This window comes from Homo sapiens, chromosome 12, assembly GCF_000001405.40.
Source record: "Homo sapiens chromosome 12, GRCh38.p14 Primary Assembly".
NCBI classification, from domain to species: domain Eukaryota; kingdom Metazoa; phylum Chordata; class Mammalia; order Primates; family Hominidae; genus Homo; species Homo sapiens.
In genome coordinates, this window is record NC_000012.12 from 24739460 (window position 1) to 24765506 (window position 26047).

Genomic DNA, 26047 nt, shown 5'->3' on the forward strand with positions numbered 1-26047 from the left:
GAAGTTAGTCAAATGAGAGGTGGCAGGGTGTGTAGATTACAGTTTAGGATAATATTTGGCCCTTAAAAACTAAACTCCACTTTCCTGACTGGCTAGATTCTAATGGGGATGTCACATTGGAGAAATATTTGGCAACACCAAATGTAAGTCAGTGTTATTACTTACATTACATTACTCACACTTTACTTAGTTAATGAGCCCCACGTACTCAATATTCCAGTGGGATTATGTATACGTGTGGGTGGGGGTAAGGGGTGCCCCATTCTCTTGGTTGCCTCAGAACTATAGTTCCAAAGCTACATCCAAAGTATTTAAACAAGAAATACTACAATAACTTCATATTAATCTATCCAGAGCAATCCTTCCAGAGGTTTTATTGAAAAGGGCCCCACCTTTATAATAGCAGAAACATCAACTGTCTTCCCAGTTTACTCCTCTCAAGCAAGTGGTAACTTCAAAGTCTGAAGTTTTAACCCAGACATTACTACAGCTGAGAACTTTACATTCCAGTCACTGTAAATTTGGATTTACAAATATAAACAAAAAGACCAGAAATGCAAATATTAAATTTCTTTTAGTTCTGAGTTTGCAAAATTGATGCTAACAGTCTATAGAAATTTTGTATTTATTAACATAGGTGAGAAAAGATTTCCATGAGTTATTGTATTACAGTTTTGCATGTAATTGTTAACTCCCTAAATATTAATATTTGTGTAAAGTGTTAAATTTACTTAGCATTTTGTTCCCCCTAAGACATTCAAAGACTTTACAGATATTAGCTAATTAAAACTCAGCCCATTACTGAAATGCAAGAAGCCCTAGGAAGTATAGTCCACAATTAAAAGATGCAGAGGGCCAGGCGAGGTGGCTCACGCCTGTAATCCCAGCACTTTGGGAGGCCGAGGCGGGCCGATCGCTTGAGTTCGGGGGTTCGAGACCATCCTGGCCAACGTGGTAAAACCCCGTCTCTACTAAAACTACAAAAATTACAGGGCATGGTGGTGTGTGCCTGTAATCCCAGCTAATCAGGAAGCTGAGGCAGGAGAATCGCTTGAACCCGGAAGTTGCTGTGAGCTGAGAGCGCGCCACTGCACTCCAGCCTGGGCGACAGAGCAAGATTCCGTCTCAAAAAAAAAAAAAAACAAAGCAGAAAAAGAAAACCAGGAAGTGATGAGTCATCAGGTCCAACAATAAGCAGATGGCATATTTTAAAGATGCTTGGGACCAAAGGGAGAGAAGCCACAGAGTTTCCTGTCCCCACAGGTTCAAGAGTTCATTCTGGAGTAAGAGTATAGAGAGGAGAACTAGTCTTAACAGTTCTGGTCCTTTCTAACACAGAAGATAACAGAGGAAATCCCATTCCAATCTTACCAGCACTCTCAGCCAATCCGACACAGTGCTGTGGAACCACCCATCCTGCAGAGACAGAGGACCCAATTGTAATGATGGCCAGCTTTTGTAAAAAGACTTTCTATATTATTTGTTTTTGCACTACAGTTATTTGTGCATCATGAAAAATAAACTGCAGAGTCAAAAAAAAAAAAAAAAAAAAACGCCAAATCTTGGCTCTGCCCCCTACTAACTGTGTGATACGTAGTCACTGCACATAAAGCAGGTTCAATTCTTTTATCTGAAGAATCGAGATAATAAAACCTATGTCACTGCATTATTATGAGAATTAAATGGTAAAATATAAAAGTGGTTTAGAACTTAATGGACTCAGAAATGTTTTTCTTTCCAAAATGGATCTTTCTGTGGGTAGGGTGGCGGGGGTAGGGTGGGTAGGAGTTGAAGGTTTGTGTTTGTATAGATACGTTGTTTGCAACCGAATTCAAATTTATCTGAAAGATCCTACTAGAGCTCCGGTTATTTTCGAAAGTCAAAAACTAGGTCATTAGCAACTCAACTTGAAACTTTCTTTGTTAGCATTGCTACTAATTGAGAGGTTATCATTAAGCACCATGGCTCGGTTCAACTGGAGCTCAAACAAAGGGGAAATTTTGAGCAATTACCCAGGACTCGGTGTCTAGAACCCAAAGTCAACTTATGAAATGCTTTGCAAACAATGAAGCATTAAGAGGAACTCACTGCCTCGGTAGAACCTGCTCTTGTTGGTACCAAGGGACAAAATGCAACTCGCTGCAGTATCCAGACCCAAAAGGGTTTTCTCAAATGGACTCTATCTCTTGAGTCAAAATTGTTTTTGCATGTCACTACACTGCCCCATCTCATCTGGCTTTTCCACGTCTCTTCACAAAAAAGAAACTTTTGACTAGAAATAAAACACTCCCAAATTGCTTTTTCCTTTACCAGGACTAACATAAAACACAATTATAATGGAAAGCAAGAGGGAGCACCAAGAAAGAACCAAATCTTTAATTTTTATTTTTTAATTTTGACATAAATCTCAATTTTCTGGTTCTTACAGGAATTAGAGGCACTTGAAAATTGTAGGGGGAATGTAGAAGTCCTAGGCTGACAACAAGAAATACATATTTCTTGCCAAAAATGTCTTCAGAAAAATGAAAACCAACATTCTGAAATTTCCCAAATATCTATTAATATTGATTGCAATTTCTGATTGCAATGAAACCAAACATAAAAATCTTTCAATGGCCCCACAATTAATCTTCTTTCTTCAGGACAGATACTCAAACAAAATGAAATAACTATTTAGGTTCAGCCTGTTCAATGTTCTGATTTAATTCTGGTTTATTAGTTTAAAAAAACAAAAAAAACCCATGAGTTTAGGTCTAGCTGAAACAAGTTCCCTAGGTTTTCTTTGAAAGATTTTAAGCTCAGTTCACAGTTGAGTTAAAAAGTAACAAGAAAGTCAGGGTCATATTAGGTTTATCAAATCCTACAGTTCTTAAGGTTTGGGACTGAAAGGTGCTTTCAGGCCCAATCTTGGCTTCAGAGACCCGGGAGGTTCACTTGGGTGGACAAATACTGAGACAACAGGCTGAGTTTTATGCAGTACCTTTTAAGTAAGGAATGAAAAGGGAAGCAGCCATCTGCTTTGTGAGAAATGAAGGAAGTGCCCCAGTCCCCTGCAATTCAATCTGAGAAGTCACTGCAGTGTGGCTTCCCCCGAAACTTGAGTTCCTGGCAGTGGAACCAATAGACCGTGGGGGTTGGGTAGGGGAAGAGCAAAGACAGTCAGTCTCCTCATGTAAGCCAATTTCTTCTCTTTACAACTCCTCCCACTTTACTCAAGGCCAGTCTCCCAAGACGTGCACCCATACACCCATCTGTGCTGTCAGGAAGAGGTGTCTCCCACCTCTTCCTCACCTAACTCAACTTAAATGTCACGTCTCAGATAGGCTTCTTTGACCATCTCTTTTGAAATTTGATGTTCACATAATACAGGTTCACGTCTTCCTGTATTTTTCCTTTATTGCTCTTATTAACAATTGTAGGAACCAGGCTTGGTGGCTCACACCTGCAATCCCACCACTTTGGGTGGCCAAGATGGGCAGATCACTTGAGTCCAGGAGTTCAAGACCAGCCTGGGCAACATGGCAAAACCTCGTCTCTACAAAAAATACAAAAATTAGCCGGGTGCAGTAGCCTGAGCGGGTAGTCCTGGCTACTCGGTTGGCTGAGGTGGGAGGATTGCCTAAGCCTGGGAGGTTGGGGCTGCAGTGAGTGGTGATCCTGCCACTACACTCCAGCCTGGGTGATAGAGGGAGACCCTGTCTTTAAAAAAAAAAATTATAGCTACACAGACTCTTGTGTGGTTATGGCTCATGGTTGGTTTCCTTCACTAGACTATTCATTCTATGAGGCTAAGAAAAATAAGTATTTTTTAAACTTCTATTCCCAGCCCCCAAGCAGAGGGTTTGGTATATAGTAGATGTCCATTAAATAATTGTGGAATAGGTAGCTCTCTGCTCTCAAATATCAACCTCATCTTTTGATTGTTTTTCCCATATTCAAGTCCCATTTTATATTCTAAATACCCTTGGATGTATTACACCTTTAGCAATTAGCAGAAATAATTAAAAATATCACTTACTGAGGCCTTAACATGTGCTGAACATGGAACTCAACACATCATTGACCTGTAATCCCAGCACTCTGGGAGGCTGAGGTGGGCGGATCACATGAGACCAGGAGTTCAAGACCAGCCTGGCCAACACAGTGAAACCCTGACTCTTCTAAAAATACAAAACTTAGTCAGGTATGGTGGTGGGTGCCTGTAATCCCAACTACTTGGGAGGCTGAGACAGGAGAAATGCTTGAACCTGGAGGGGAAGGTTGCAGAGAGCCAAGATCATGCCACTACACTCCAGCCTGGGTGACAGAGAAAGATTCCGTCTCAAAAAAAAAAAAAAAAAAAAAAAAAAAAAGACATCATTGACATTATTTCATGGAATTTTCTCAACACTGTGAAGTGTGTAAAATTATTGCTGTGTTACAAGTGAAGAAATCAAGGTTGGATTAAGCCTAGAGGGGAAGTACCGCTTGGCATGGAAGAGAGAAAGAAGGGTTGGTGAGGAGCATGGAGACAGTGAAGGTAGGAGTGTGCCAGCGAACATTCCTTATGTCATAATCCCCCAGTCAGCCCCGTCTATACCACTTAAGAGCAATGCATATACCATATGTGTTGCTGCTGTCTGCAGCATTAAACATATATTCCATAGTTGAATCCCTTTTCCTGGTGCTCAAAGGAAAGAGAAAATAACAGATCAAAGGAGAATGCTGAAAAGATATTTGACTCTCTGGCCCTTATTGTTTAACACCTTTTAAATTTGTTTTTTTCTTCTGTGTCTATAACACTGGAGCTAAGACATGGGTGGCCAGAATAGATAAGCCTCTGGCCCTCTTCCAATCCTATGATTCTACAATTCTATGTTGCCATAATAATTTCCACTATATTCTGTCAATGTGCTCTCACTTCCCTTCAGACAGGATTTATCTGGCAACTGAAGTTGGTCCTGACAACATCTTAAAATGCCTAAACTGATGGTGTCTCTAAGATTTTTCTAACCCCTATTTATATACCGTCAAGACAAATATGCAGGAATTCGGCAATCAGAAAGTTGATTTCCACCATTGTGACAGCCACTGTTTTTTAACGTTTCATTCCCATTCTTGAAGCAATGGTGGGAAGCAGCTCCTCTGGAATTTGTCACGTAGCACTTCAGCTCTTCCACGACAACTGGTATGCACAGAAGATTGCAGAATATGCCTTCCTCCCGTGCCAAGGCATCACTCTCCTCCCTTTCTCCTTGTTAGTCATTTGTCGGGTTCTGTAAAACTGCATTGATAAGGTGCTGCTTTAAAGGTGCCAATTATCTATTTTGTTGTAGTGTAATTTTTTAAGAAAAGGATGCTGCTAGTTATCCTCTTCTTGATGTTTAGAAGAGTCTCAGAGGGTTTTGACTAAGGGGACTGTAGTTATTTTGGTGTAACTTGCAGTTGTTCGGTGAGAGATAGAGTTGAGGTATGAAGACATTTGAAGAAAAATAATGGTAAACTTTTATGTTTGAGTGAAAGTAGAGAGAGATGTTCTCTTTGGGCAACATACAACTCCAATTTGGATGGAAAAATATGAGGACAAAAGTTACCTTGTTCAGGTGAAGATGTGCCTGGAAGGAAAGAGAGCCTTTCCCATGAATTTTGTTGGAAACTGCTCTGCTTTTGGTCACATGCTCCGTGTACTCCCACAGAACACACAAGGGATGAAGGCCTGACCTTTGAAGTCAGGATTAAATTCCCATCATTTAATCTAAATGTATTCGCCCATCACCACTGAGAAGCAGGAAGCATCAGATGCTCTGCTGTGAGCCGACTGGCATCCTCTCCCCTTTTATTTTGCAGTATTTTTCTCTTATAAACCTCTAGTTATTTAAGACCTGGTGTTTGACAGATCAGTAGGGTGACTATAGTTAACATCAGTCGATCATACATTTCAAAATAGCTGGAAGAGAATAATTCAAATGTCTGTAGCATAAAGAAAAGATAAATATTTAAAGTGATGGGCATCCCAATTACTCTGATCTGATTATATGAATGTATCAAATTATCACATGTACCCCCAAAATAAATACATCTAATTTTTATATAAAAAATAAATAGCCTAAAAAATAACTAAAGTGCTATGTTTTAATAAAAGAGGAAAAAGAAGTGATAATAACATACATATTACATCATCATTTCTGATTTTACATGAACTTTAAAGAAGAAAAATCCATAAATGTGCCAACAGAAAATGTTAACAAACCAATCATCTCCATTTTGGCCATCATCACAGCTTACAAACACACACACAAACCCACATACACATGCACAAAGAATGGAGGGAACAATGAGTTAGAAAGGAAAAAAATGTGAGACATATTCACAATATAAATTCTACAAAAGGAATTCAACAAACCAGAGCTTTTGGCTTAAGTGTGCTTTTAAAAATATTTTTGTTTCAGGAGAATCTCTTGAACCCGGGAGACAGAGGTTGCGGTGAGCCGAGATCGTGCCATTGCACTCCAACCTGGGCAAGAAGAGCAAAACTCTGTCTCAAAATAAAATAAAATAAAATAAAATTCGTTTCATTATTAATATTTTATCAAAAAATAATAGTTTTAGCACAAATTCCACTTTTCAAAACTCACACGGCTCCAACACTAAGGTTATCTTGTTTGGCATTAGAATAGCTCATGTCTACATTAAAGCTGGAATCTTAGAAATGACATAAACAGGCCTTTTTCTATAAAGATAAAAGGCTAAGCTTTAAAGGATTTTATATTTATAGATAAATGTTTCCATAGTAATCAGTACTATAAAACTTGCTGGTGTCAGCACTCCTTTGCATACAAAAATGGCTCATATTAAAATGAGCTAGATTCAGAGAATCAAATGTAGATTCTTTTACCTTAAAAAAGCACAACTTTTGTGAGAAGGGCAAAAACCTTACTGAATTTTGTTGGAAACAGCTCTGCTTTTGGTCACATGCACCGTGTACTCCCACAGAACACACAAGGGATGAAGGCCTGACCTTTGAAGGCAGCACGGACCATGATGAAAAGTAATTTACAACAACACACTCATTATTACATCCTCAGATGATGAGCTTGGAGCTATGCATTTTAGATTTTTCCCAGTGTCTGAGGTCAGTTTTGTTTTAGGAAGCAAGAAAGTTCAGGAAGAAAGAAAACAAAGTTCAGAAGGAGGCAAGATTAAAAAGAAAAGAATACAACACTAATGCTTTAATAATAGAGTCAAAAATTCATGAAATAAATGTTACACGTAAGACAGTATAAAACTGGTAAGAATTCTGTTTTTAACATTTATGACTATCCTAACAGATATAGAAACATATCTTCACTAAAAAACATGCACAAGGAATGTTTGTAGCAGTCCTATTCATAATAGCCTCAAACTGGAAACTATTGAAAGTTTACCAACAGATTAGATATTTTGCAGTCTATTTATGAAATGAAATACTATAAAACAAGCATGAATAAACTATTGCTATATGCAGATACACAGACATAGTATAGAACCAAAGAAAGCAGGCACATGGAGGAGAACTTAGTATATGATTCTATTTACGTAGAACTCAAAAATGCACAAAACTAATCTATGGGTTAGAAGTCAAGTGATTGCCTGGAGGGAAGGCAGCAGCTGGGAGGGGAACAACAGAGGTTTCTGGGGCCCATATTTTCTTTTTTAATCTGGGTACTGGTTACAGTAATGTGTTCACTTTGCAAAAACTTGTCAAACTGTGCCTTCATGATTTATGCACTTTTTTGCATGTATATCATACTTTAATAAAAAGGAAAAAACACAACGTTGAGGTGGTCTGAGTGTTTTTCAATAAATATATATAAATGTTTCCATTGTAATCAGCTCAGCTTTATCTGTCCTAAATACCTCCTCATTTTTGTTTCTCTTGGCCAGTGAACATTTGACACTCCTAAGAGATCACTTTCATAAGGCAAATGCATGTGTGTATGTATGCACACTTCACCCTCAGTTACCCACATTTTTATGACATCTTTGGAGGCACATATTCAGTTGTTCAGCCACCCCAAAGCCTCCAAAATCTGGGACCTTGCTGGAAAAAAAAAAAGCAATTTTAAAATAAATATTGAACCGATCCTGGACTGTGTGGTGTTTGTGTTAACACCTCACAAGAGAGTGGAGGGCAGGCAGGGGAGAGTGCTTCCATTTCCAAAAGGCTGCCTGCGGCGCCCACAGGCACTAATGGGACCGGGCTGGGGCTCTGAGACATTGCCAGGTGGAGGCAGGACAATGGGTACCCTGAATCCCCCGGCAGAAGGCTTTGGTCTGTCATTTTCTGGGGTTTCCATGTGGCACTCAAGTGTCAGATAAGTAAAAAAATTAAGTGGGAACTTTTAACAACATTCCATTCCTGGACTTTGTACTGCTCATTCTGCAAGGCTTTTGACTGAGAGAACCTATCTTTTTATTTTCATTATTTTAAAAAATTTTTCAGAAGAAGAGCTAGCTATGAGGACAAGGCAGTGAGGAAATAGTGATAAAGAGTGGCATCACTAAAGCCTCTTTCCCTAAGTGACTGTGTGACCTCAGGCATCATCCTGCATCTCCAAGAACCTTAGCTTCTTAGCTGGGGGCATTCCTCATATGACTGGTATAAGGAATAAATGAGATAATAGTAGAGTCCGCAGGTCATTATCTTCTGGCACAAAGCACACCAAACACGCAATAAACATTAGCTATTATTGCTATTATATTATTGCTCTTGAAATGTTTTCAACTTCGTATCTGGATTTTTCCATTGCATGGGGCTTATATAAATGGAATCCTGGCTGCCCCTATTTGAAAGTCACCAAACGTTATGTCTAATCTTCAAATAACCACAGGTACTCTGGCAATTATTTTCATGGCTGAAAGTTGAACACCCAGGCACAGAACCATTGTGATAGAACAGCGACGTGTGTAGAAGGCCTGTCTCCAAAAAGATCACAGGAAAGAAGCCTTGCAAACCTCAGCTCTCCGTTTGTTTGTAATTTTGCTCCTTTTGGTCTCTTCCACTCTCCCCCCTCACCCCTTCGTTTTTCACATCTGTGCTTGCTTCCTGACATTAGCATAAGTTTGGGAGTCAGGTTGCTGGGGGACTAAGAGGCTGAACTTAAACTAAAGGGGATCGTCGTGAAAGGAAGAATGAAATCGAGGACTAAATGAGGGGACTGTGTATCGGCAGGATTCATTCGTGCGCACACATAATACTTTTGGATGGTCTCCTGAGATGGGCTGCGTGGCAATTTTGCTGCCTGTATTCAAATATATTTAATAGTCCTCATTGCATTCCTAATCATGTAGCTCATAAGGGAATTTCTGCCCTGAGATATGACAGAGAGGCACAACAGCCATAAGGAATAAATGTTGGCAACACAAAAAGTAAAATATTTTACCTGCAACACTGGCCTTCACCTTTGGCAAAAGCAAAACAAACAAAAACAAAACACTGAATATGGCCAGGAGTTTCCTTAGGATCCAAGAAAATGCTAATTGCTAGGCTGGCAGTTTTTCCGATAGCTCTTTTTACTTCTTTGTCCATTTCCCTTTCTCAAGCAAAATAAAAAACATAAATGCCAGAACTCTATAAAAAGAAATTTTTTTCTTTGTTTCTTTTTATTTTCTTCTTTTTTTTGCCACATATTGATGGAAATTAGAGAAACGTGAGACCAGGTAAGCGAGGTGTTGTGACAAGGTTTTGATTCATTGGCTTTAGGTCATTAAGAAATTAAGATAATTTGGATCTATACTCAGATTTGCCCAGATCTGTGAAAATTATCAAATTGTAGGGGAAGGGTCAAGATTTCCTGTTATGACTCAACATAATTGAGCCATCGCATACAATTACTTAGCTGAACAACACAATGTTGCATCTTCAGGCATACCTTTTATACGCAAGTGATGAGTTTGTGGCTCATGGGCTTCTGCAATCTCACTGTGAGCAAGATAACGTATGTTAGGAACTTGACAGTGCCTGACAGTTTGTAAGCTCCCAACAAATGGCAGTGACCATTGCTATCACAGGCCTATGGGGAGTGCCTTGATCCAGTGGAGCCCCCACAAATCCTGACCACAGAAATGAAGCATGTCCTAAGCCAGAATGCTTTTCCAGTATGATGGCAATACCTGGATGTACAAGAAGACACAGGTTGAATTTGGAACAAGTTCCATATGAAACAAAGCTCAGGCTAACATGACATAAATATGCGGATGGAATAAACAACCTAATAGCAGGCTCCCTGGGCAGCTTCGTTCTCAGAAGTTAGATGAATCATGTAAAACAGAAGTTTATAAGTTTAAACGAGATGAAATGAGGAACAGTAGAGAAAGATGAAGACCTTCTGCAAACAAACTCAACCATGCTTTATGCAGTAGACCAGATCCATATTGCACAGGTATTTACACCGCACTCAAGAGCGCCACAAGGTCAGGCTGGGGGCCACTGGGAACCGTGCATTGTGGCAGGCTAATGTTTTCATATCTCGTCAAGATTTCCCTATATGTATTTTCCTTTATGCTTGTCCATTCCTTCCCTTCAGGTACCTTTTCAGTGCTCCTGGAAACGTAATGCAAAAAAAAAAATCAAACCCTTGGCTTTGTAAAGTTTCAAAAAAGTTTAGGTTAGAAATTGTGGTAATGACTGTATAACTCTATGAATCACAAAAACCTTTGAATTGTACAATGAAAATGGGTGAGCTGTATGATATCAGAATTATATCTCAATAAAGTTGTTTTTTAAAAGTTATAAAGTTTAGGTCAGGCCACAGATTGCAGATTTGGAATATATAGTACCAGGTGACCCTGCTCTCAAACTAAATAAATATTATTCTGATTCAGGAAAGAGAGGAGTTCAAGGTTGAGGGCTTTTGATGGTAGAGAGCTAAAGAAACGGGATCCCTGGTTTGTACATCTTCCTGACCACAGGCCAACTCTTAGGAGGGGGTGGGTAGAAATTCCTGGATAGATTTGTGGAATGTGAGAACAGAGAGAAATCTGCCTTCTGCTTTTCTATAGCTCAAGAGTCCCGAGCACAAAGGGCCCATGCAGGTGTCCAGGCAGCTGTCCCTGAAGCAGCCTCACAGAGTTTGTTGCAGCCCAGAGTTGTAGGCTATCCGTGGAGTGTTTCCTGGGTATCCAAGAGGAGGTCAGGCATGACACAAAAGCCCAGGGACTGGAAGGGATGAGAAACTGATAGAGAAATCTATGTGGACCTATGACTGAAGACCAGATAATAAGGGCACCTCAGCAGATGACGACATGGATAAATTGCAAAGAAGAGGAGCACGTGCCACTTTCATCCAAACATCCTGGCACTACACGATTCATCCAGATCATAACAACTGTCCAAGGCAAGTAAAAGTGACCCTGAATTGACTGAAAATATGCTTTTGCCTTTTGTCCAAATGAGGACTCAAATTCAATTTTATATAAATGAAGAAAGTTACATTAATTGAGGCTGAGTTTAGAGATTGAAATTTTGTCTAATATAGAGTTATTTTAAAATCAGCACAGGAAATCATGAGAACCTCAGATCCTGAATGCCACAAGCTTTACTGGGCTGATTTTTACAAAGGGTGAGAGAGATTTTGCTGCCATCTAAGCCTCTTGAGGCAGATCAACTGGACATTGCAGATTTAGAAGCAAAGAATCAGGAAATTAAAGAGACATTTACATTTTCTTTTAAAGAAATACTATAGCTTGAATTACCTTCTCAATAATGATCTCTCCTTCTCTGAAAGGTTATGCCACAATGACAGCAAGTTATTTCACAGGTTGAGGTATTCTGTTAAACCTTGAAGAATCTGCTTAGAATAGATTTGAGTTAGAAAGGGAAAAGTATATTAGAATGTTTATTATAGATATTTTCCATATGAGTCATACTAAAACTGCCATTCAGTTTATCCATGTGTGCTCTTATTCTATCTCCACTTCAACCTCCAGAGTAGCTTCTTGGTTCCTTCGGTTGTACTTTCTTATGCATCACAAGTCAATGTTATCAGAAAACATACATACTTGAGACTTACCGTTAAAAATGAAATCACATTTCTTTTCTGCAATCACTCCATTTTTCTACTCTCCTCCATCCCTATATCTCTCAAAAGAATGATTTACGTACATTTCTCTCCATTTGCTCACCTCCCATTTATACTTTAATTTTCTGCAATCTGATTTCTGCTCTAAGCACTTTCAATGGAAGGGCACTATTCCTGTGATGATGTCCGTGTCAATTCAATGGACATTTCTCTATCCTCAGTATTTGTTGTGTATTATCTTGGCATTACCTCTTTTCTTGGCATTTGAGACATCACTTTGATTTTCCTTGAAATTTACTAGCTGTTCCTTCCCATTCTCTTTGGCCAGTTGCTTCTCCTGTAATGAATCTCCAAATCTATTTGGATTAGAGCTGAAATCTAACTCAGGGCTGAAATGAAAAGGCTCTTATCTTCTCTGCATCACTTACTCAGATATCTCACCATTCCCATGGGTTTAAATACCATGTGAATTCTGATAACCCAAAAAGTTTCTTCCCATTTAGACCTTACTTCCAAGCCCCATACTCATACACAATATTGCTTATTTAAATCAGACATCTTGCAGACATTTGCAACTTAACAAATTCAACATGAAATTCTTGATTTTTTTCCTCAAAACTGTTTCCCCATCAGAAGCTCAGACTTCTTCTCAGTAAAAGGCACCACCAACCACTCAGTTGCTCAAATGAGAAATAGAAGTGTCATTCTGGTTTTTTTGTTTCCTCCTGCCCCATATCCATACGATAGAAAGTATTGTCAAATCTAGCTCCAAATATAGCTTTTGTTTGTTTTGTTTTGTCTTGTTTTTGAGAACACGGTCTCACTCTTGTCACCCAGGTTAGAGTGCAGTGGCGTGATCTTGGCTCACTGCAGCCTCAACCTCCTGGGTTCGAATAATCCTCTCACCTCAGACTCCTGAGTAGCAGGGACCACAGGTGTGTGCCACCATGTCCAGCTAATTTTTCTTTTTCTTTTTTTTTTTTTTTTTTTTTGTGGAGACATGGTTTTGACATCTTGCCCAGACTGGTCTCAGACTCCTGAGTACAAGCGATCTGTCTGCCTCGGCTTCCCAAAGTGCTGGGATTACAGGCATGAGGCACCATGACTGGCCTCCAAATATATCTGAATGAGATTGTTTTCCTTCATCTCTTCTTCCATTACTACCTTACACTAGTTCACCTTCATCTCATTGCACGGACTATTTTAAGTTCAGTTGATCTCACATCTTCCATTTTTACCTCTCACCAAGCCACGCTCAATATAGCAGCAATAATTATCTTGTTAAAATATAAATTTTGTCTAATGTCACTCTACCACTTTAGTGTCTTCCTGTAGCTCTCAGAATAAAATCTAAAGCCCTTATAATGATTTGTGAGGTCCTGTTCACCTTCCCAGTTTCAACTCATATGACCCCTGGGCTCTGCACCAACCACTCTAGTATCCGAGTTTTTTCCTCTTCCTGCAAATTTGTCAAATGACTGCTTCCTCTGCCTAGAATGCTGTCATCCTCTGAGCTTCAGGCTAAATATTAACTACTTAGCAATTTCCTTGCCTATCTCTCTATTTAAAGTAGGTCTCTTTATTTTCTTCATTAAGCTCCTATCCCTTAACTTTATAACATTTGCACTGATTATAACTATTTTATTTATTTGTCTGTTAATTTTTGGTATCTCTCTCTTTCACCAGAATATAAGTTCCAAGTCGTATAGAAGATAAATTGTGAACATCATGTTTCTCATTGTATTCCTGGAGTTTAGCACAGGGCCTAGTGCATAGTAGGTACCCAAAAGTAAATATTGATTGACTGATATTATCACAGTAGAAGTAGAGTTCTTATCCTCATGCCTTTGTACATGTATATGTATATGCGCCTGTAAGGGCAAAAGAGAAAAGTACATTAACACGTAATTATCTACACTCACACCCAATGAGTTAGTGGCTTGGCAGAAGTACTTTTCATATAAAAATAATACAGAGATAACATATATACAGAGATACTCTCACTTATCTACCTATGGGATTTGTTAAGGGATGATTTCCAAAGCTGACCTTTCTATCTATAAGACTGAAGAAGTGTTTAAAACCTTGCCAACCTTATCAAAGGGAATAATTAATCAGGACCTGATAATGTGCCATATTATAGTAGAAGCAAATTATATATTTGTTAATAGATCTTTATAGATCATGTTTTGAATGTTCATTTGAATTTTCTTTTTTCATTTGAAAATGACTTACTTCAAGTTTTGGGCCAGTGCTTAGAGGTTTACATATCTATTTGTGTGCTATATGAGAGTACGTGATCTTCTCTGATGATAAAATTTCCCAGCGCATCTTTTTCTCCATGATATTAGTTTCTTGTGAGTATGAAATTTATTCTAAATGACTTTCAGGCCACTTCTCACCATAACCAATGAAAAGGAAAATTATCTGTTGCCACCAGAAAACATATTTGCTTATATCCTGCATGGCCAGGTCTCTAGCACCCAGCATCCGCAGAGGGTCTCCCATCTCAATACTTATCCTGTTAGAGTTCTATGATGGTTAATTTTATGTATCAATTTGACTGAATCATGGTACTCAGGTATTTGGCCAAACATTATTCTACATGTTTCTGTGAAAGTGTTGTTTACATGAGATTAATATTTAAATCAGTAGACTTTCAGTAAAGCAGATCACCCTCCATAATGTGAGTTGGCCTCATTCAATCCATTGGGGGCCTTAATAGAAAAAGACTGGCCTCCCCTAAAGAAGAGGAAATTCAGCCAGCTGCCTCCCTTCATCACTTAAACTGCATCATTTCTTCCCTGGGTCTCCAGCTTGACGATCTACACTGCAGATTTTGGACTTGCCAAGCCTCCACAATAGTGTGAGCCAAAGTCTTAAAATACGTTTCTCTCTCTCTCTCTCTCTCTCTCTCTCTCTCTCTCTCTCTCTCTATATATATATATATATATATATATATATATATATATATATATATATATATATATATATGTATGTGTGTGTGTGTGTGTGTGTGTGTGTGTGTGTGTGTATGTATCCTATTGGTTCTGTTTCTCTGGGGAACTCTGACTAATACAGTTTCCATCACCAACCCATTTTCAATTTACTTCCCATTTTAAGAGTACCATAGAAGCCACCAACAAGACGGAGTCTCATTTTTCCTCCTTGAAACATTCACAAAGAATAAGAATAACTGTAATTTGGGTAAATGGAAGCACTCCGTTCTCTGTGGTGGAACACATTAGTCTCTATGACCTCAAGACTCACCCTAGTCACCCTTCGCACCAACTCAAAGGCATCAGATTCTGTAAATGATATTGTAACAAAGAGCTCAGCAATTTAAGTTCTCTGCTCTCCACTCCTTTATTGACCAGTCTTATTGACTTTGGCCAGGTCAAGAGCTTTTCATTGCTTTAGTTTCCCCATCTGTTTGTGTAATGCTTATTTCTCTGATATTTTGAACTCCTTCCATAAGCAGGTGCCCCAGAAGAGCAAGTGGGGCTATTGATCTGGTGCTACATGCGCAGGAAGGCTCCAGTTCACATGCCTGAACCCGTTACCCTGCTTTGTCACACATTAAAAGCCTGGAGATTACCAGAAGTATTTGGTTTGGGTTGTTCTTTGAAAGATATGACTGTACCCACAAATATGCACAGAATACTCATCAAGGACTCTTGAATCACAAAGGCAAGTCCTTCCCTCGTCTTGCCACAATCTTTGATGGTGATGAAGAATGTGTTTACTCAAGTTCACAAAAGAGAACTTGGTTTGCTCTGTTTTAGCAACAGATTAGGATTTTCAAAAGAAAAACTGGCAATATAGGTCATTTTTTTTTGAACAAGCTTTGAAGCCATGCTGAAATCTTATCAGGATGTCAAGATTTAAAAACTCCTACCTGTACATCTCTCTCCCTAGAACTCTTTTGTGCAGCTGCTGCCGCCTCCTTTGTTGAGTATGTGTGAACAGAAAAGTAGCATACACTCAGCTCAAGGCACCAGAAACCACTGTAAGCCATTTCTATCTCCTTATGGCCGATTGGGCAGGCAAATTCAAACCAAACATGAATTCCTAGGGATGTATTATAATATATACTATGTGATTAAATTGTGCTGGCTCACCTGCAATGGATTTGTACTTGCTCTCTCTCAGAGCCCCCATTTTTCCCACAGTAATCTTCCTAAAGGGAAAGCCTACTCACTGAGCTCTTTTTAAAAGGCGAGCAAATCTCAACACTGCAACCATTTAATGCCACAGACATGATTGTAAAGAGAGCACAACAAAATGAAGGTATTGTATTTTCATCATTCATCAACAGAAGACTTATTTGTAATATACCCCTTGCAGGCGGGTCTGGTGTGTATATTCATTTATTAGGATCACACATCACATTACCTCACGTACATAACCATTTAAGTCATGTCAAAAGTCAGCCAGCAAGTAAGCTGTGATGAAAAGATCCTCCAGAGAACAATTTGCTTCCCTTTTACTTTTCAACATCATAGCTTTGCCTCTTCTTGGTAATTTCTATATAAACCAACAAACAAACTCTGGTTTTTATAAAAACAACTCAGGGCATGTTGCATGCTTACATTTTAGGATGTTCGTAGAGTATGCTATCATATTTTAACCTCAGAGCCTTCTTTGAGCCAAACGGGATTCCTCCTAACCTCTCTACCTGTATCTAAACAAACTTCAGATGAGCACAGTCTGCAGATTGCTGACTTTCAGCATATCATCATCAACACAGCAAAACCAAAGATTCTCCAATAGAATCTTTCAAAACCAGAGAATCCAGAAAGACTCGGACAGCAGGACTGGTGGACCGTGAACTCAAGTTGCACCTCTGATCTAACTTAATGCTTACATATATTTTCAAGAGGAAAAACTTTGAGCACACATAGTATAAAAGTTACTTCCTGGTCCACACTGCAATACTTTTCTCCTACTCTCCCAGAAAGCTAGAGAAAACCTTTTTAACAAATAATACCCAGAAAAGACTTTCTGCAGAAGTACTATTTTCCCAGCTCAATGTCACAATTATTTAGTGTGTTGAGCACTATATGTCTTTTAATTTCCTATAATCCCTACCCATAGTATAATGTTGAATTCCATTTATTCTATTTTTAAAGAGATGAAGTCATCCAGGGTGGAAACTATGCCCTGATTGAAAGGACTTAAATGCTGCTATGTCTCAGACTGGGCTCTGGCACATGGAGAAGTATAAATTAAACTCTTCTGCAGACATTTGATCTCTTGCTATGAAAAGGGATATTGTGTTTCCTCTGTTTAACAGTATTCTCTGTCCACTGTGAAAAGAAGCCTGTTTGCTTAAAAAAGTGTGGCATATTTCTTCCACTATGAGTGGCATTGCAAATGAAATCACAGCACGCACCGAATATAGTTCCAATCGTCTATATGAATTGTACATCTGTCAAGAGAAGCCAATGTTGAAATTGTGGTCACTTAATATGAGATGAATAATTTAATAATATGATGACTGATCACAACCACATCTCTGGATGCTAAGACTGGCAGCTTTTGTTGAGTGCCCACCTGCAGACGGCACTGCGCAAAGCAAGTTAAACAGAAACAGTCTTGCCTTCTAATCCCAGTCCATCTTGCTGCACACCAGAGGCTGCCCACACACAAAGTTAGGATATCACTGTTACTGGTGGGACGTTATTCTGAAAGTGCATGCACATGTTTATCAGTTGGGCAGAAACATTTTCTTCCATTTCCTCCACAGGTCCTCTGTGCTTTATTAAGATCATAATAATTCTCTGTGAAAGAATAGAAACTCTGAAAAATCTATGACACTGTGTTAACATACTATTAAAATACTCGCAGTAAAACTTTCATTGGTATCTAGTATGTGGTAGGCACTGTGTTGGCTGAATGAACCAAGGCTATCATCTCTGAAGAAAAACTCAAGCAAAGGTTTTCAAACTCTGTCCTGCTCATTTACTGGAGGTGTTGCAGGAGTTACCATAACATCGTTTGTCATATAACATCAACTTTTTTGTTATCCTAAAGACTTGAACTCTCCTCGTCTACCACAGAGAGGCTGATAAATTAGGAAGGTGCTGATTTAGCTGACGAATCTGGTCAGAGCTGGGAAAACCCGGTAGACAACCCTCCCCCTACTCCGCAGCCGCTGCTGAAAACATAGCTGCTCCTAACTTGTTTCTATATTGGAAACTATATCGGGTTTTGGAAAAAAAGTGTTCAGCTGCCACAAAAAATAGCTTAAAAACCATTGCTGGAAAGCATATTTTTGTACCTTAAATGAGTTTCAATTTTTAATGGCTTATATTGAGACATAGTGTCAATGAGAAAGATTACATAGCAGTTGCCATAGACCCAAACGATGACTTTTATTGTCATAAGCAGGCAGTAGGTGTCTTTGGAATAAACAAATAATTTATTTTTCTTAACCAAAGTGCCAATAAATCTGTTTCACTTTGTAATGAAAGGAAAATATTATAGCCCGATCCACATTTTTTTACCCCAACCTAATCGGCAGTACTTACTTTAGTAAAATGATCTGGAGACCCAATAAAAAAATTTGGCACAGTTGCTTTTATATTGCCATCATTCCTTCTACTAAAATGGCTTGCAAAATTATAAAATGTATAACCCCAACCATCTCCTCATTATTTTGATGCTCAGTAAGCCCTATATTACAGTGTTCCATTTAAAGCTTAATAATATACAGTAAGTCGAAGAATGCTGTTTTACTCAATTTACTTAATCATTTTTGCAATGTTTCCCAAAGTCCCCTAAAGATCATGAACACCTGGAGTGCTTAGTAAAAATGGATTCCTGGGCCGTGAAACAGACTCTCTGCACCAAAATTTACAGGGAACAAGTCTGGTAATCTGCATACCTAGCAAGCACACAAGATGATATTTATCCTCATAGAAGTGGTGAAAACAACAGGGTAGAGGAAAATCGAGTCCAGACTCAACTGATATGCCAATTTCCTGTTCTACCCTATATGTAGTTCTCCCATTGTAGAATGATGATTCCACTGCAGAGGTTAAAAAGTTGGAATCTTGGCAAATGTACACAACTGTCCTGCCAACCCACATGGCTAGCTGAAGTGATCAGTTTGGGATCAGAAATTAAATATTTTACTTCTGAATGACATACCAGTTATGTTAAGAGAGTGTGTTTTTCCAATATATGTAACTGAAAGAGCATGTGATTCACTGAAATATCCCCTTACTCTTATTGCATTGTAAAGGGAAAATAACTATCAGAATATGGCAGCTGAGGTGAGAGAGGCCAGGTTGTGTTTATTTAGTTTCAAAAACTTTTCGTGCATAATTTTTCATTACCCCTATTCCTCTGGAGAATGCTTTTGAGTTTCCTTTAAACTCCTAAGGCTCTAAGGACACTAAGGATCTGGAGTTATCCCATATTATCCTTTCAGAAATCCCCAATAATATGATGGCTGTGAGTCTTCGTAGGTAACAAATGACTTCTCTTAATGATTGATGCAGTAACTTTCCAAGAAAAGTGAAATATTGAGTGGCTATCTGGTGAATTCAAACAGTGTAGACAGTGAAGTGAGAAAAGAAAGGTCCAGAAAATACATTTGACCAGTGTGATGAGATTTGCTTTGGGACCCTAAACGAACAGCTGACCAATTCATCTCTTGGGAGTTTGGATTGTGCAGACTGGCCGGCTTTATCTGTCTCTGTATCCCTCAAAACCCTTCCAAGGATCACAGAGTCTCCTACAGGATCAAGTCCAAATTACTTACCATGGTACAAGAGGGACTCTGGATCCAGCTATCTCCTTTCTCTTTATCTTCTTGCAGTCCACTTCATGACTCAGCAACAGAAGCCTCTTGTAGCTTCCTCGGCTGGGCGTGGTGACTCATGCCTGTAATCCCAGCACTTTGGGAGGACAAGGTGGGAGGATCACTTGAGGTCAGGAGTTCCATACCAGTCTGGCCAACATGGCAAAACCCAGTCTCTACTAAAAATATAAAAATTAGCCCAGCAGGTTGGTGTGTTCCTGTACTTCCAGCTTCTCAGGAGGCTGAGGCAAGAGAATCTCTTAAACCCGGATGGCAGAGGTTGCAGTGAGCTGAGATCGTGCCCCTGCACTCCAGCCTGGGTGACAGAACAAGACTCCATATCAAAAAAAAAATAAAAAGAAGGAGAAGAAGAAGCTTTTTGTCGCTTCCTGTACAGACCCTGGTATTTCCCAACTTTTGCTGGTGTGATTCCCTCTACCAGGATTTCCTGCCCCAGCCTTTGCCTCTAGGACTCAGCTTAGCGGTCATCTTCTCCAAGAAGCTATCCCTCCCCTGTACTCTATCTTTGTCATTGAAACAACCAATGCCATGACATCATTCGAACTCTGAAACGTAAGTAATAAGACTAAGGAGAAAAGGAAGGAGAGGGCTTATTGGACTGTATGCCTCCAATGCCTAGTACAGAGCCCAGCCTAAGGAAGTTCTCAAAAGGATGGTTATTGACCAAAAATATGTGAATCCATCCTGAGGGTGTTTGCAAATAGTGAAAATGAGGAGACCAGAGTATGCCTGCCAATGTTGGTTTTCTGTTGTCCGATGTCCTTCAAAAATGACCACCATCATTTTTTTTTATTATTACAGCCTTGGAAAGAAGGCCTGCAGTAGAAAAAACACTCCATTCATTTTCCATGGAATACATTTGTTTGGTATGCAATGTGATTCTTTTTCTGCCTGTTAACGTGTACATTTTAAAAATTAGTTGCACCTTTTCCTTTTAGAGGTACTTAGTAACCATGCTGTTTCAGATACAAAGGCCTACAGAGCAATGCCCACTGCCCTGTGAATGGGGCCTTTGTTCTCAGTGCTGTTTTGGTAGGAAATGGTTGCTATTTAGGTCTCCAAGAGGGAATATAAACTATGCTCACCTAATCAAACAGACCAGTAAATACAGCAGTTAATCTGACAACTTCAAATTCCTGAGTTGCATTCTGAGAAACAATTTAACACCAACAATCATTTAAAGCCTATGTAAATCATAAGCCTTTAGTTACTTAAGAGGTTTATTGTATTTTATTTCATTTCACTTTATTAATTACCGCAAATGCCTGGTTCTAAGTCATATTTCAGGACACAGACTTCTTGTTGGTTGGAAAAGAAAAGAAATCACACTGAAAAATACAGCACTGAAGCTCAAAAATAAAAACATGTTATCCAGACGCCAAAGAGAGAAGAGACACAGCATGGGTGAATATATGAAAGCAAAAGATGACCCTATCATATTAGTATGCTAATGAAGTAAGTATTGGTCCTGAGGACAGGGGAAACCCAGGTGCAGGCCTTCGATGTCCATTGTTCTCATTCCTTCAGATAGTTACTTCCAACGAATCTGCACTGTGGCTGTGAAATAAAAAGCAGTACCTGTTTGTTCAAGTTATTAACAGTTTTACAATGCCCTCACCACCTCACCTTGAAGGTTCAGTCACCACTTGAGAAACAAAAGCACTGAAACAATATATTTGTGGGGAAAAAAATCCACCTAGTTCTTAAATGCAATGTGGAGTGATACTTTAAACCCAAACAACAACAGCAAAAAGATCTCTTAGTTGGAGTTATGGGATATAAATATCACCATTTAGATCCTACCTGTTTGCTAACAATTGCAATAGCCTCTTACAATTTGTGATTGCAGCATATCAGGGAGCAGCGTCCAATAGGCACACAGCCTGTATTAAAAGCACTATCTGAACTATTCCTTTCCTTTTGAAGGAAAAAAAAAATCAAGTGTTTCTTGTTTTTAAAGGCACCATTGTCACTTCTGGTTGAATGTTTATTTTACTGTCTCCTGCACAGCGGAGGGCATTTCACCTATAAAGAGTGATTACAGAGTACTGGGACAATTTGAATACTCTAATCAATGCTAGTTAAAGGAGGAATAAATAAACTTTTATGGCACCAGGGTTCCTACCCTTCATGGAAATTATTGTTAATTTATTGAATCAATAATCTTAAAACAATAAATTATGATGCCCTTTGTTTTATTAAGCCCTTCTCACAGTGTGTTAAAAAGCAAGGGCTTTATAAATATTGCAACAGGCTGGGAGGAGGTTTTCTTAACCAAGTCTTTGTATGTGGTCCGTTATGCAACAGATTAGACTATAAAAGTTAAAAGTGTGTGTGTTGGGGGCTGGGGGGTGCGGGACTCGAACATGATTTAGTGTCTACTAAAATAATAATAATAATAATAATTCCTTTACTACTTAAAATTAGCCATTTTAAGCAAGGAATTTGGATTATTTTTCTCATTAACCCTGCCACTGCTTCGGGTTATTTGGTTTTACTCTTCAACTGTTTGATAATTTTTACATATTAAGGGCATATTCATTACAAAACAGGAAGAAAGATTTTCAACTAATACGGGCTGGACACCGACTGTCCAGAAGGAATCGAATCATTGTCCTCAATGGTTTTCTCTTAATCATGGTCCCATGTTTAATCTGTTTTCCACCAAAACCTTTAGGGAAAACAAAACTCCCCAGCTTGTTTTGAATTTCCAATCTCCTACTATCCTGACCTAGTCAGGATAAGATAAAGTGCCTAAAACAGTGTCTGGCATAGGGCTGACTCTAAACAAAATAGAATGTTCCCTCTCTGGGGCCATCCTAGTGCTGCTTCTCTACCCCACACGCAACTGTAACAGGTCATGAGAATTGTATCCTTGAAATCTTTATTAGTTTTCTCATTATGTTTTTACCTTTCATAGCTATCGAAGTATCTTTTGGGTACCTATTCATCCTGTTACAAAACTGTACCCAAATGCAAACTCTCTGGCTTTAAAAAATAAAATATAATGGGGAAAAGTGCACATTTGGGGTAATATCTGCAGATGAGACATTACCGTAGAAGCAATGTCCCAGAAGCACCTAATATCCAAAGCTTTCTGTATAGACTAAGCTCCTGTAATGGCTCTACAGCTACTATATACAATTATGTGCTCACTAACAGCATCCCTTAAAACAGGCAGAAGGGATCTTTGAAGCCGAGCTCTGCATACCTTAATTACGGAACCAATTTGGGACACTATTTGTTCCAACATTTTTTAAAGGCCTTCCCTAGATTACAAGAACACATCATATCAGGATTACTTTTTGTGCCTGGAGACCACAGACCTGAATGCAGGCCATTGGAATGGTCCCCCAGAGTGTCGGTGTTCACCACCTCGTTCTCCTGGGGGTTTTACAGTTTTTGTCACAGGACTGGCCTAAAACCAGAAATATTATTCCCTGGAGCTAATGTTCTGACCGAAGTTCACCATCCTAGAGATCCAGCTCTGGCTATGGAACTGTAACAGTTTAGCACCTGAAGGGCCCAGCAAGGAAACTAGAAGCCGACAATTTATGGAACTTCCACCCATCATGGATACAGTGATTTGACAAACTCCTGGCGAGTTCAGTAACAGTTCAAGGAATCTTCCTGGTATTCTGAAGAGTTCAAGAGATGCACCTAGACCAAAGGAGGAAAAGGAGACCCAGCATACTATAACCCAGGAGTGTTGCTGAATTAACCAGATCTTCGCAGAGCTGAGCCATTGGCAGAGGCCCTCAGTCTGAGCCATTTGTAAGGGGCTGAGGCAGGCAAGGAAATTCTTGGGCCCATTTTAATTTACTGGGAAGGCTTGGCTAAGTTAAGGGTTCTATTTAGGTCCTTGGATACTTTTCCCACTGTATATTCCCAGAGCAGCTCTAGAGCCACTGGAATCTGGCTGAAGGATAAGGAAGAACCATACCCAAGAGTATTCATTACATTCAATTGCATGGCAAGACGAATCAGGAGTCCAGGCAGTCAATAGAACTGGCTGCGATAATGGTAAAAGGATGGCTACTACATACCAAGCACTATCATGGGAGACATATATTGTTTCACTTAGTTCTCACAACAACCCTTTGGGTAACGTATTGCAATCTTGATTTTAGAAATGAAGGGCAGAAATTCAGAGTGGTTTAGGGACTTGCCCAAGGTAATACAGTGGTGGTATCATGTCTGGGCCTTTCTAGCTCCAAAGGTCATCCTGAAACCAATAGGCCATGCAGACAGACTTTCCCTAAAATTGTTCTGTCACTTCAGCCTGTGTATCTTCAGGGCCTTTGCAACTTTCTTAGGATTATCTCTCTTACTTACAGAAATCAATCCAAACCTTGCCCTTATGGCTTTTCCACAGTCTGAACTTCTCATAAAGAAAGAATCAATATCCATTATGTAGGTACAGGATTCATAGATTTCAGTGAATTCATTCATAAATAGGAAGGTTCAGTATTGATTTAATGTTAGTGGGTCTATTAATATTAAAGCTGATTATATTAATTGTATTCTTCCAGCCAGCATTCATCCTTTAATGTTCGTGCCCGTCTCCTTAGTGCTTGATAGAAAGGATGCACTTCTTATGTTAGGTAAGCAACTTGAAGAAATGGGAGGAGAGGTAATTATATGCAGGTATGTATATATACAACACCGAGACAGGAATATTTGGGGGAGCTAAGAACAGCCATGCGTCGGGGCTTCACAGAGATAAAAGTATAGTTTAAAACCAAGAGGGGGCCGAGCGTGGTGGCTCATGCCCGTAACCCCAGCACTTTGGGAGGCCAAGGCGGGTGGATCACCTGAGATCAGGAGTTCGAGACCAGCCTGACCAACATGGTGAAACCTCATCTCTACTAAAAATACAAAAATTAGCTGGATGTGATGGCGGGCCCCTGTAATCCCAGCTACTCAGGAGGCTGAGGCAGGAGAATCACTTGAACCTGGGAGATGGAGGTTGCAGTGAGCCGAGATTGGGCCATTGCACTCCAGCCTGGGTGACAGAGTGAGACTCCATGGAAAAAAAAAGAAAAAAACAAGAGGGATCTAAGACAGTGCTGGAAATGGAGTTATTTTGACACTTTCATGTTGTGGATACCAGGGTTCAATGCTCGGATCTCCCTTTCAAGACTAAGGTTCCTACCTCCCCTCCCCACTACTGTGAGTGATGCCTAATCATGGAGACTCTCTGCACGAATCGCCCTTGGCCAAAGCGAGCCACCAGTTCCCAAGGTTATGAACCTCCATAGGAAGCAGCCCATGTACAAGGACTGGTCTATGCCCCTTGCTTCACTCAGACACAACTTTGATGGCCATCCCAACTCCAGAACTCCCATTAGATCAGGTGTAGCTCTGTTGCATCAGAACTCATTCTCTCCTTTTGCCTAATTCTGTTTCCCTTTCTCTTCCTGCACACAAATCTCCCACCTCAAATCTGTTTCCAGAAAACCTGACCTAAGACACCTCCTAAGGCATAGAAACTTATCAAAGCTTTGCCATTAAGTCACTCAACCCATCTCTGTCTTTGTTTTACCCATTCTTGTCATTACCAACCAAATTTGTCACCCTTGACCAAATGCCTTTTCTTTACTATCTCCTGGTTTCTATTTTTATAGCTTCTGCATACACATAACTTTGGCTTACTCACAGCTTTAGTTTTCTCTTGGCCCTTCATGGTTTTCCCATCATCGAGCTTCTTCAGGTGAGGTTTTGAGTACTGCTTATATGTCACTTGCAGTACTATGAATTTGACTAATTTTGGTTCAGGTGCATATATTTAGATGGAAGATGGAGGAGATTTATAAAACATGGCCACCCCTGCTTAGGAAAAAGCTTAAGACATCTTCCTTGTAGAGAAAACTAGGAGCATGACAACTTCTGTTAGAAGGAAGGGTGAACTTTGGCCAGCACTGTGACTAGCCTGTCCATTGCATTCATAAACCAGATCTAACTATAATCAAGGCATCAGCGACATCTAGGAATCAGTTCCACAAATATTTATTGAGCACCTATTAATCAGGATCCATTTTAGGAAAGGAAATAGACAATAAAAAAAATGACAAACTCTTACCCTCATGAAGTTTACATTTTAGTGTGAAGGACAGAAAAAAATATAGATAATTGAAATTCAAAGAAAACAACAACAATCTCAATAACTTTATACATT

The 26047-nt window shown here is 39.4% G+C and overlaps 1 protein-coding gene across 2 annotated transcripts in view; it reads left to right on the forward strand.

Moving 5' to 3' along the window:
• Positions 1 to 26047, forward strand: part of LOC124902897 (uncharacterized) — a 71084-nt gene that overhangs the window by 34991 nt on the left and 10046 nt on the right. For both annotated transcript variants that reach the window (XR_007063242.1, XM_047429950.1), the window contains exon 2: positions 24402 to 24473. Coding sequence is in view for 1 of the 2 variants with exons in the window: in XM_047429950.1 (XP_047285906.1) it covers positions 24402 to 24473 (72 nt within the window). In the remaining variant the exon portion in view is untranslated. The remainder of the gene's footprint in view (positions 1 to 24401; positions 24474 to 26047) is intronic.